General features: G+C 50.2%; 1 pseudogene, besides 1 other annotated feature; it reads left to right on the plus strand.

Annotated features, from left to right (window-relative positions):
- Positions 3,511-4,011: an enhancer, noted in NCBI's record as "H3K4me1 hESC enhancer chr12:120717966-120718466 (GRCh37/hg19 assembly coordinates)". NCBI's record gives its function as "activates a minimal SCP1, AML or CMV promoter by ChIP-STARR-seq in naive H9 embryonic stem cells {active_cell/tissue: H9 hESC(naive)}" and the evidence as "EXISTENCE:reporter gene assay evidence [ECO:0000049][PMID:30033119]".
- NME2P1 (NME2 pseudogene 1) lies at positions 5,566-6,204 on the plus strand (annotated as a pseudogene).

Below are 12,952 nucleotides of genomic sequence, written 5' to 3' on the forward strand. Positions count from 1 at the left end.
CGTCCTCGCTTTCCACACCCAGTTCTGCCTGTCCATCTGCAAAGTGTAGCCCAATTCCCACCCCCACCCCCTCATTTTCACCTCTGCAATTATATCTCTAGGTGCAGCCACGCACTACCCTCTCTTGCCTGGGATTACTGCATGAACCTCCAAACTGGACCTCTATTGTCAATTTTCTACCCAGAAGCCAATAAGCCAATGTTATCTTTTTAAAAAAATTTTTTTGAGATGGAGTCTTGCTGTATCACCCAGGCTGGAATGCAATGGCGCAATCTTGACTCACTGCAACCATCACCTCCCAGGTTCAAGCCATTCTCCTGCTTCAGCCTCCCAAGTAGCTGGGACTACAGGCACGCTATCACGCCCGGCTAATTTTTCTTATTTTTAGTAGAGACAGGGTTTTGCCATGTTGCCCAGGCTGGTTCTGAACTCCTAACCTTGGGTGATCCACCCCCCTCGGCCTCCCAAAGTGCTGGGATTACAGGCGTGAGCCACGGCACCAGCCTAATGTTATTTTATTTTATTTTATTTATTTATTTATTTCGAGACGGAGTCTCACTCTGTCGTCCAGGCTGGAGTGCAGTGGTATGATCTCGGCTCACTGCAACCTCCGCCTCCCAGGTTCAAGTGATTCTCCTGCCTCAGCCTACTGGGTAGCTGTGATTACAGTCACACGACACAACACCTGGATAATTTTTTGTATTTTTAGTAGAGACAGTGTCTCACCATGTTGGCCAGTCTGGTCTTGAACTCCTGACCTCTGGAGATCCGCCCCCCTCGGCCTCCCAAAGTGCTGGGATTACAGGCGTGAGTACCCGGCAATGTTATGGTTTTTTTGTTTTTTTTTTTTAGTATTTATTGATCATTCTTGGGTGTTTCCCAGAGAGGGGGAAGTGGCAGGGTCATAGGATAATAGTGGAGAGAAGGTCAGCAGATAAACACGTGAACAAAGGTCTCTGGTTTTCCTAGGCAGAGGTCCCTGCGGCCTTCGGCCTTCAGCAGTGTTTGTGTCCCTGGGTACTTGAGATTAGGGAGTGGTGATGACTCTTAAGGAGCATGCTGCCTTCAAGCATCTGTTTAACAAAGCACATCTTGCACCGCCCTTAATGCATTTAACCCTGAGTTGACACAGCACATGTTTCAGAGAGTACGGGGTTGGGGGTAAGGTTATAGATTAACAGCATCCCAAGGCAGAAGAATTTTTCTTAGTACAGAACAAAATGGTGTCTCCTATGTCTGCTTCTTTCTACACAGACACAGTAACAATCTGATCTCTCTTTCTTTTCCCCACATTTCCCCCTTTTCTTTTCGACAAAACCGCCATCGTCATCATGGCCCTTTCTCGATGGTCGCTGTCTCTTCGGAGCTGTTGGGTACACTTCCCAGGCGGGGCGGCCTGGCAGAGGCGCTCCTCACCTCCCAGAAGGGGTGGTGGCTGGGCAGAGGCGCCCCTCACATCCCAGACGATGGGCAGCCGGGCAGAGGCGCCCCCCACCTCCCTGATGGGGCAGCCGGGCAGAAACGCCCCCCACCTCCCAGACGGGGTGTCCGGGCAGAGGCGCCCCCCACCTCCCAGATGAAGGGCGGCCAGGCAGAGGTGCTCCCCACCTCCCAGACGGGGGAGCCGGGCAGAGACGCCCCTCACCTCCCAGACGGGGTGGCTGGGCAGAGGCGCCCACTTCACAGACGGGGCGGCCGGGTAGAGGCACTCCTCCCAGATGGGGTGGCGGCCGGGCAGAGGTGCTCCTCACATCCCAGACAGGGTGGCGGCCAGGCAGAGGCGCTCCTCACCTCCCAGACGGGGTGGTGGCCGGGCAGAAGCGCTCCTCACCTCCCAGACGGGGTGGCGGCAGGGCAGAGGCGCTCCTCGCCTCCCAGACAGGGTGGCAGCCGGGCAGAGGGGCTCCTCGCTTCCCAGACGGGGCGGCCAGGCAGAGGTGCTCCTCGCTTCCCAGACGGGGCGGCCGGGCAGAGGCTGTAATCTTAGCACTTTGGGAGGCCAAGGCAGGCGGCTGGAAGGTGGAGGTTGCAGCGAGCCGAGATCACGCCACTGCATTCCAGCCTGGGCAACACTGAGCACTGAGTGACCGAGACTCCGTCTGCAATCCCAGTACCCCAGGAGGCCGAGGCGGGCAGACCACTCGAGGTCAGGAGCCAGAGACCAGCCCAGTCAACAGGGCGAAACCGTGTCTCCTCCAAATATACAAAAACCAGTCAGGCGTGGCGGCGCGTGCCCGCAATCCCAGGCACTCGGCAGGCCAAGGCAGGAGAACCAGGGGAGCCCGGGGCAGGGAGGCTGCAGCGAGCCGAGACCACGGCAGTACAGTCCAGCCTTGGCAACAGAAGGAGACCGAAGAAAGAAAGAGGGAGCGGGTGAGGGGGAGGGGGAGGGGGATGGGGGAGGGGGAGGGAGCTGTTATGTTTTTTTTTTAAAAATCAACTTTATTGGGCTAAGTGCAGTGGCTCATGCCTGTAATCCTAGCACTTTGGGATCTTGACATAGCTGATCTCAGATCTTGGCATAGCTGTTCACGTGCCACCTCTGTGGGTCCTGAACATTTTATCTAAAGTCTCCCCGTACCCCACCAAATCAGACTCCTTACCCTGGTATTTGTTGAGGTTCACCTTCTGCCATTATATTCTGCGTTTATTTGTGTACTTGTTTATTATTTGTCTCTGCCTCCCCCATTAAAATGTCAGGGCTATGAGAACAGGGACTATGTCTGTCTTGTTTGCTGCTTGTTCACCAGCATCTGGAATGGTAGGTTTGAGTAACTATTTTTGAACGAATGAAAGACTGGCAACATGGAGATGCCAGGAGATGAGTGAGCTGGGCTGCATAATTAGTTGTAGCATCAGGATGAAAACCCCAATCTCCTGGCCCCCAGCCCAAACCTCTCTCCTCCTTCTCAGGCCATTCACAGATCTTCCCAGGACTGACACACAAGACAGTACAGGGGTCTTAACTGCAGTGGTTTTTTTTTTTTTTTTTTTTTTTTTTTTGAGACGGACTCTCCTCTGTCGCCCAGGCTAGAGTGCAGTAGCGCGATCTCAGCTCACTGCAAGCTCCACCCCTCGAGTTCACACCATTCTCCTGTCTCAGCCTCCCGAGTAGCTGGGACTACAGGCGCCCACCACCATTCCCGGCTAATTTTTTTTTTGTATTTTTAGTAGAGACGGGGTTTCACCGTGTTAGCCAGGATGGTCTCAATCTTCTGACCTCGTGATCTGCCCGTCTCAGCCTCCCAAAGTGCTGGGATTACAGGCATGAGCCACCATGCCCGGCCCGTTTTTTTGTTTGTTTGTTTGTTTTCCCCAAGATGGAGTCTTGCTCTGTTGCCCAGAGCTGGAGTGCAATGGCACAATCTCGGCTCACTGCAACCTCCGCCTCCTAGGTTCAAGCAATTCTCCTGCCTCAGCATCCCGAGTAGCTGGGATTACAGGCGTGAGCCACCACACCCGGGTAATTTTTGTATTTTTAGTAGAGATGGGGTTTCACCAAGTTGGCCAGGCTGGTATCGAACTCCTGACCTCGTGATCCACCTGCCTCGGACTCCCAAAATGTTGAGATTACAGGCGTGAGCCACCATGCCCAGCCGCAGTGCTGTTTTTAAGAGCAAGAGACTGGAAACAACTCAAATGTCCATCAATAGGGGGCTGTTTAATTAAATCACATACAGTTCTACAACGGAAAATTATGTAGCCACAGAAAAGATCCCAGGAAGCTCAAATGTACTGAAACGAAACAGCTTCCAAGATCTGAAAACATAACACTGAACGATGTAGGTAACGTGTGTATCATTTGTGGGAAAAAGTGGGATACAATATGATTATAAGATACTTATACAGGCCGGCGCGGTGGCTCACGTCTGTAATCCCAGCACTTTGGGAGGCCAAGGCAGGCGGATCACAAGGTCAGCAGGTCGAGACCAGCCTGGCCAATTTGGTGAAACCCCATCTCTACTAAAAATACAAAAATTAGCCAGGCGTGGTGGCTTACGCCTGTAATCCCAGCTACTCGGGAGGCTGAGGCAGGAGAATCACTTGAACCCGGAGGGGGAGGTTGTGTTGAGCAGAGATTGAGCCATTGCACTCTAGCCTGGGCAACAAGAGTGAAACTCCGTCTCAAAAAAAAAAAAAAAAGGTACTTATACAAGGCTGGGTGCAGTGGCTCACGCCTGTAATCCCAACACTTTGGGAGGTCAGGGAAGGTGGACTGCTTGAGCCCAGGAGTTCCAGACCAACCTGGGCAACATGGTGAAACCCCATCTCTAAAAAAATACGAAAAAAGTTAGTCGGGCATGGTGGTGGGCGCCTGTAGTCCCAGCTGCTCAGGAGACTGAGGTAGGAGGATCACTTGAGCCCAGGAGGTGAAGAATGCAGTGTGCCACTATACTCCAGACTGGAGGACAGAGTGAGGCTGTGTCTAAAAAAAAAAAAAAAAAAAAAAGATAAAAAAGATACTTATACAAATTAAATTGAAACAACTCTGGAAGAATGCACACTACCAATGTTAACTGGCTAGGGTTGGGGCTGGAGGAATGGGGTGGCTGGGAATCAAGAGTAGAAAGGAGATTTCACTAAGTACTCTTTTGCATAGTTTGAATTTTTTTTTTTAGGGGCGGAGTCTTGCTCTATTTCCAGGCTGCAGTCCAATGGCACGATCTCGGCTCACTACAACCTCCGCCTGCTGGGTTCAAGCGATTCTCCTGCCTCAGCCTCCTGAGTAGCTGGGATTACAGATGCATGCCACCGTGCCCAGCTAATTTTTTGTATCTTTAGTAGAGATGGGGTCTCACCATGTTGGCCAGGCTGGTCTTGAACTCCTGACCTCGTGTAATCTGCCTGCCTTGGCCACCCAAAGTGCTGGGATTACAGGTGTGAGCCATTGAGCTCGGCCCACATATGTAACTTAATCTATTGCTAAAACAAATTAATATTTTACAAAAATAGGCCAGGCACAGTGGCTCACACCTGTAATCCCAGCATTTTGGGAGGCCGAGGCGGGCGGATCACGAGGTCAAGAGTTCTAGACCAGCCTGGCCAACATGGTGAAACCCCGTCTCTACTAAGAATACAAAAATTAGCCAGGCATGGTGGTATGCCTGTAATCCCAGCTACTGGGGAGGCTGAGGCAGGAGAATCACTTGAACCCAGGAGTGGGAGGTTGCAGTGAGCTGAGATCGCACCATTGCAGTCCAGCCTGGGTGACAAGAGGGAGACTCTGTCTCAAAAAATAAAAATAAAATAAATAAATAATTTTTAAAAAGTACATTTAAAAAAATGTCACTACTGGACGGGTGTGGTGGCTAGTGCCTATAATCTCAGCACTTAGGGAAGCCAGGCGGGAGGATCACTTGAGTTCAGGAAAACAGCCCATCTCTACAAAACATTAAAAAATTATCCAGTTGTAGAGGTGCCAACCTGTAGTCCTAGGTACTGGGGATGTTGAGGAAGGAAGATTGCTTGAGCCCAGGAGTTGGAGGCTGCAGTGAGCCATGATCACACCATTACACTCCAGCCTGGGTGACAGAGCAAGTCCTTGTTCCAAAAAAGAAAGAGAGGAGCGCAGCACTGCCGCCTGGCCCCTCCAGCTTCCCGGACCACGGCCAACCTCGAGCGCACCTTCATCACCATCAGGCCGGACAGCATGCAGTGCGGCCTGGTGGGCAAGATCATCAAGCGCTTCGAGCAGAAGGGGTTCCGCCTCGTGGCCATGAAGTTCCTCCCGGCCTCTGAAGAACACCTGAAGCAGCACTACATTGACCTGAAGGACCGCCCATTCTTCCCTGGGCTGGTGAAGTACATGAACTCAGGGCCGGTCGTGGCCATGGTCTGGGAGGGGCTGAACGTCGTGAAGACAGGCCGAGTGATGCTTGGGGAGACCAATCCAGCAGATTCTAAGCCAGGCACCATTCGTGGGGACTTTTGCATTCAGGTTGGCAGGAACATCATTCATGGCAGTGATTCAGTAAAAAGTGCTGAAAAAGAAATCAGCCTACGGTTTAAGCCTGAAGAACTGGTTGACTACAAGTCTTGTGCTCATGACTGGGTCTATGAATAAGAGGTGGACACAGCAGCAGTCTCCTTCAGCACGGTGTGGTGTGTCCCTGGACACAGCTCTTCATTCTACTGACTTAGAGGCAACAGGATTGATCATTCTTTTATAGAGCATATTTGCCAATAAAGCTTTTGGAAGCTGGAAAAAAAAAAGAGAGAAAGAGAGAAGGGGAGGGAGGGGAGGAAGGGAGGGAGGGAGGAAGGAAGGAAGGAAGGAAGGAAGGAAGGAAGGAAGGAAGGAAGGAAGGAAGGAAGGGGAAAGTTAAATAGAAAGAAAGAGACACAGACGGGCCGCGAGCGGTAGCTCATGCCTGTAATCCCAGCACTTTGGGAGGCTGAGGTGGGCGGATCACAAGATCAGGACATCAAGACCATCGTGGCTAATACAGTGAAACCCCGTCTCTACTAAAAATACGGAAAAGTAGCCGGGCGTGGTAGCACGTGCCTGTAGTCCCAGCCACCCGGGAGGCTGAAGCAGGAGAATCAGTTGAACCCGGGAGGCGGAGGTTGCAGTGAGCCGAGATCGCGCCACTGCACTCCAGGCTGGGCGATAGAGTGAGACTCCATCTCAAAAAAAAAAAAAAAAAAGAAAGAAAGAAAAGAAAGAAAAAAGAAAGAAAAGAAAGGCAGTACAGACAATAACAAGAGGGGCCTCAACCGCTCAAGAGTGATTCAACTGAGACTTGAAAACATTTCCTGGAAAAGAGCTAACCCTAGCTTGATGTTTTGCGAAAGGGAGGCTGTGGGAAGAGCATTCTGGAAGGAGGGGTTGGTATTTGGAAAGGTATGCCGAGGGCCCCAGAATAGGGGTAGTAAGACGGAAAGTTTCCAGCCTCCCCTGGCTTATCTCAAGGAGGAGCCTCATGGCTCAGAGGGTGGGTCCTACCAGGCCCTTCGGCCCTCTAGGAGAGGCTCCTCGTGTCCAGGAAACCCAAAACAGGCAAGGGTTTAAATCTCAGTTCTGGCTGGGTGCAGTGGCTCACGCATATAATCCCAGTACTTCCCAGGCTGAGGTGGGTGGATCACTTGAGCTCAGGAGGTCGAGACCAGCCTGGGCAACATGGCGAAACCCTGTCTGTACCAAAAAAACAAAAAATTAGCCAGGCGTGGTGGTGGGTGCCTGTGGTCCCAGCTACTCGGGAGGCTGAGGTGGGAGGATCGCTTGAGCTCGGGAGGCGGAGGTTGCGGTCAGCTGAGCTTCCACCACTGCACTCCAGCCTGGGTGACACAGTGAGACCCCATCTAAAAAAAAAAAAAAAAATCCCAGTTCTATTTGCCAACTGTGTAGTCTTTGGCATGATACCTCATCTTTCACCTTTCTGAGCCTCACTTTTCTCTTCAGTAAAATGGGAGTGAGGTTCTACAGGTTTAATACTTAGTAGTTGTGTGGTTTGAGACCAAGTGACTTGACCACTCTGAGCCTCAGTTGCCTTCTTTGTAAATCTGGATAATAAAACATATATATGCCTTCCATGGCTGTTATGTGGATTTAACAACAAAAACAAAAATGCACAAAAAGGGCTGAGAAATTGTAGCTATTAGCATCATTGAAGAACCGAGGTGAGACTTTAGGGCTAAGAGGGAAAAGGACAGATTTGGGGATTTATCCAGCCACCCAAGTGCTGAATCGAGTTGTTGTGAGTTAATAATAAATATTATTATTATTGAGTACACATTGTTTAACACGTGTAAAGCATCACGTTAAGTCTTTAAAACCTAATGGGTGTTTTATGTCCTATTTACAGGCCAGGAAACTGAGGCTTATTAAGTAAAGTCACCTGCTCCCAGCTACAGCTACAAAGTGGAAGAGTCAGGATTCAAACCCAAGACTGTCTGACTCATGAAGGGGAGTGTCAGGGTTGTGCCACAGCCTTTGGGCAAGTCCAGGATTCCCAGCCGACTTGGACACAGTGCCTTGGGAAGGCTCTGGTTGCCTCTGAATTTGGGAGAAGGACACAGTCTGGGTTACTGCCCTGCATAAAACCTTCATGACACCAGAATAAAGCCCAGTGGTTTTTCATGATCTCATTGGAGGACCCAGTATGTACCTCCTCACCAACTCTCTCTACTTCCTCCCTTCTCAGCTCCACTCACTGGGAATAATTTTCAGGTTGTTCAATAAGCCTTGTTGGGCCGGGCGTGGTGGCTCATGCCTGTAATCTCATCACTTTGGGAGGCCAAGGCGGGTGGATCACTTGAGGACAGGAGTTCGAGACCAGGCTGGCCAACATGGCGAAACCCCATCTCTACTAAAAATACAAAAGTCAGCCAGGCGTGGTGGTGCATGACTATAATCCCAGCTACTCAGGAGGCTGAGGCAGGAGAATCACTTGAACCCAGGAGGCAAAGGTTGCAGTAAGCTGAGATCGTGCCACTGTACTCCAGCCTGGGAGACAGAGCAAGACTCCACCTAAAAAAAAAAAAAAATTGGCCACGATGGCCAGGTATGGTGGCTCCCGCCTGTAATCCCAGCACTCTGGGAGGCCAAAGCAGGTGGATGACCTGAGATCGGGAGTTCGAGACCAGCCTGAACATGGAGAAACCCCATCTCTACTAAAAATACAAAATTAGCCAGGTGTGGTGGCGCATGCCTGTAATCCCAGCTACTCAGGAAGCTGAGGCAGGAGAATCGCTTGAACCTGGGAGACGGAGGTTGCGGTGAGCTGAGATTGTGCCATTGCACTTCACCTGGACAACAAGAGTGAAACTCTGTCTCAAAAAGTAATAATAATAAATAATACAAAAATTAGCTGGGCATGGTGATGCATGCCTGTAGTCTCAGGTATTTGGGAGGCTAAGGCACGGGAATTACTTGAACCCGGGAGGCGGAGGCTGCAGTGAGTCGAGATTACACCACTGTACTCCAGCCTGGGCAACAGAGAGAGAGACTCTATCTCAAAAAAAGAGACAAAAACAAACAAACAAACAAAAACACCGGGCACAGTGGCTCACGCCTCTAATCCCAGCACTTTGGGATGTTGAGGTGGGTGGATCACTTGAGGTCAGGAGTTCGAGGCCAGCCTGGCCAATATGGTGAAACCCCATCTCTACTAAACTACAAAAGTAGCTGGGCGTGGTAGCCCACGCCTATAATCCCAGCTACTTGGGAGGCTGAGGCAGGAGAATTGCTTGAGCCTGAGAGGTGGAGGTTGCAGTGAGCCGAGATCGTGCCATTGGACTCCAGCCTGGGTGACAGACTGAAACTCCAGCTCAAAAAAAAAAAAGAAAGAAAGAAAGAAAGAAAGGAAAAAAAGGCTGGGCTCACGCCTGTAATCCCAGCACTTTGGGAGGCCAAGGCAGGCGGATCACCTGAGGTCAGGAATCCGAGACCAGCCTGGTCAACATGGTGGAAACCCATCTCTACTAAAAATATAAAAAATTAGCCAGGTGTGGTGACGAGCACCTGTGATCCCAGCTACTCGGGAGGCTGAGGCCAGAGAATCGCCCGAACCCGGGAGGTGGAGGTTGCAGTGAGCCGAGATTGCACCACTGCACTCCAGCCTGGGCAACAGAGCAAGACTCTATCTCAACAACAACAACCACAACAGAAAGGCCACATATTCCTGACTCCAGGCCCCTGCCAGTGCTGTTACCACTGCTAAAATCCATCCTGCCCTCTTTGTCCCGGTTAATGCCTCTCCTCCTTCAGTTCACAGCTCAGCTACCCCCTTCTTCAGGAAGCCCTCCTTGACAACTACCCAGGCTTAGCTAGTCAGTCCCATGACCACCCCATCCCCACTAAAGTACTTAACTCTGAAACAGGCACCAAAGGAAGCACTCTTCCCATATCTCACTTAATACTCACCAAATCTCTGGCCGGTCGTGGTGGCTCATGCCTGTAATCCCAGCACTTTGGGAGGCTGAGGCAGGTGGATCAGGAGGTCAGATCAAGACCATCCTGGCTAACACGGTGAAACCCCGTCTCTACTAAAAATCCAAAAAATTAGCCGGGTGTGGTGGTGGGTGCCTGTAGTCCCAGCTACTTGGGAGGCTGAGGCACGAGAATCACTTGAACCCAGGAGGTGGAGGTTACAGTGAGCCGAGATCGCGCCACTGCACTCCAGCCTGGGCAGCAGAGCGAGACTCCATCTCAAAAACAAACAAACAAAAGATACTCACCGAACCTCTCTGGTAGTGGGTCTCATCTTTGCAGAAACATTGGAAGCTTTAACACACATTTTTTTTGCCCTGACCCATTCCTCAGAAATTCTGATTTAATGGGTCTGGAATGCAGCCGGGGCACAGGGATTTTTGTAAAGCTCCTCAGGTGGTTTTCTTGCACACACAGTCAGGGTGGAGACCTACCGAACTCTGAGATAGAATCAGGACTCTTTTTGTTTTTACAGCCAGGGACACTGAAGCATGAGAGGGTAGATGAGTGGCTTACCGTCATGCAAGTAGAGAATAACGAAGCAAGGTCTTGAACCCAAGTCTGGCTTCAAAGCTTCATGGGGGAAAAAAAAATCAGTTGGCCTCAGTTAATTTCCCAGCAATGGAGAAACTGTAGAGCTTAGAGCCAGCTCTGTTTTGAGACAGACACTGAGGGCCCCTTGGGCATGGGATATTTTTAACCTAGAAGCTGGTGATTCTTGCTAACATTCTGCAGTGCCTTGAACACTGAGCAGATTGTTTAGGGGTCTGTGGGCTCTTTCCCTGCTGAGATAGCCCTTGTAGTAGGGCTTTTCCATCCTCTGGAGCCAGTGGGTGGGAGGGTGGGTGGGGGTTGGCCTCATGGCGGGTGGGGTGGCTAATGTATCCAAGGATATTACCTACATGGTGGATAGGGAGAAGGTCAGTTTTGGATGAGCCCAGATTTCTCCTCCCTCCGAGACATTTTATCTCACCCAACACAGCCCCTTCTCCCTTCTCTCCACCTGGAAAACAGCTGGAAGACAAACCTAGGTTGAAGCTGGATTGTACACTCAGCGCCTCAGGAAAATGGATGCACGTTCACCCTCCCGCTTCTTCCCCTCCCTGACCCGTGACAGCCCCGTGAAAGCTGCAGAACACTTACAAATGTATGTATCAGGCCAGGCGCGGTGGCTCACGCCTGCAATCCCAGCATTTTGGGAGGCCGAGGCTAGTGGATCACGAGGTCAGGAGTTCAAGACCAGCCTGGCAAATGTGGCAAAACTCCATCTCTACTAAAAATACAAAAATTAGCTGGGCGTGGTGGCACATGCCTGTAATCCCAGCTATTCAGGAGGCTGAGGCAGGAGAATCGCTTGAACCCAGGAGGCAGAGGTTGCAGTGAGCTGAGATCGCACCATTACACTCCAGCCTGGGCAACAGAGCAAGACTCCGTCTCAAAAAAAAAAAAATATGTATATGTCAAACCTTCTCCAGCTGTCCTCATATGTGATTTGTTGGGCAAATACATTGGTATAGTCTTAGGGGTGCCAGTATAGGGATATCCCTTAAAACGCAAAATAAGCATGGCCTTTGAGGAGGCAATTCTACCTATAGAAATTTTCCCCACGCCCAGATTACCTGAGGCGAGGAGATCGAGACCAGCCTGACCAATATGGTGAAACCCTGTCTCTACTAAAGATACAAAATTAGTCAGGCGTGGTGGCAGGTGCCTGTAGTCCCAGCTATTCGGGAGGCTGAGGCAGGAGAATCGCTTGAACCCGGGTGGCGGAGGTTGCCATCAGCCGAGATCATGCCGCTGTACTCCAGCCTGAGCAACAAGAGCAAAACTTCGTCTCAAAAAAAAAGAAAGAAAGAAAGAAAGAGATTTCTCCCCAGAAATACCCCAAGAGTAAGGAAAGATGACGTAGCATCAAGCGTATTCATTATAGCATTGCTTATGGGAAAAACTGGAAACAACTCACGTGTCCAATAATGGGGGATTGGTTAACCTTGGTAGGTCACATCCATATGGGAAAAGGGGAATTAGGTGCTGGCATGGAAAATGTGTCCACAATGTATTGTACAGCAGAAAGAAAAAGGAAGTAATAGAACTATATGTAGAGTATAATCCAATTTTTTTTTTTTTTTTTGAGATGGAGTCTCGCTCTGTCGCCCAGGCTGGAGTACAGTGGCACGATCTTGTCTCACTGCAAGCTCCGCCACCCAGGTTCATGCCATTCTCCTCCCTCAGCCTCCCAAGTAGCTGGGACTACAGGCGCCCGCCACCACGCCTGGCTAATTTTTTTTGTATTTTTAGTAGAGACAGGGTTTCACCGTGTTAGCCAGGATGGTCTCGATCTCCTGACCTCATGATCCACCTGCCTCGGCCTCCCAAAGTGCTGGGATTACAGGTGTGAGCCACTGCGCCCGGCCAAGTATAATCCAATTTTTGTTAATAATTATGTTGACCTATAAGTAGAACATTTTGGAGGAATAATCTCACGTACCTGTGACTATCTCCTTGGAGTCAAGGTGAGATTATTGTGAGAGCCTTTGTCACTGTTTCATGTGTATATTTGAATTTTATATACAAACATGCAGTAATTTTTGTATTCAGAAAAAAGAATTTAGATTTGAAACAGAAAACAATGATACGTAAAAATCACATGAAGCCCTCTCTCCCCTCCTTGCTTGCAGAATAATAACAAAAAAATGGATCCACTTTAATATGGTTAATTTTATGTTATGTAAATTTTACCTCAATTTTTTTGTTTGGATTTTCCTTGTGGGGGATTTTGAGATAGGGTCTCACTCTGTCACCTGGGCTGGAGTGCGGTGGCGATATCACGGTTCACTGCAGCCTCGACCTCCTAGGCTCAAGCAACCCTCCTGCCTCAGCCTCCTGAGTAGCTAGGATTACAGGCAAACACTAATTTTTTAATTTTTCCAGGCACGATGGCTCATGCCTGTAATCTCAGCACATTGGGAGGCCAAGGCAGGTGGGTGGCTTGAGCCCAGGAGTTTGAGACTAGCTTGAGCA

The sequence above is a fragment of the Homo sapiens genome, chromosome 12 (assembly GCF_000001405.40).
Source record: "Homo sapiens chromosome 12, GRCh38.p14 Primary Assembly".
NCBI lineage: Eukaryota > Metazoa > Chordata > Mammalia > Primates > Hominidae > Homo > Homo sapiens.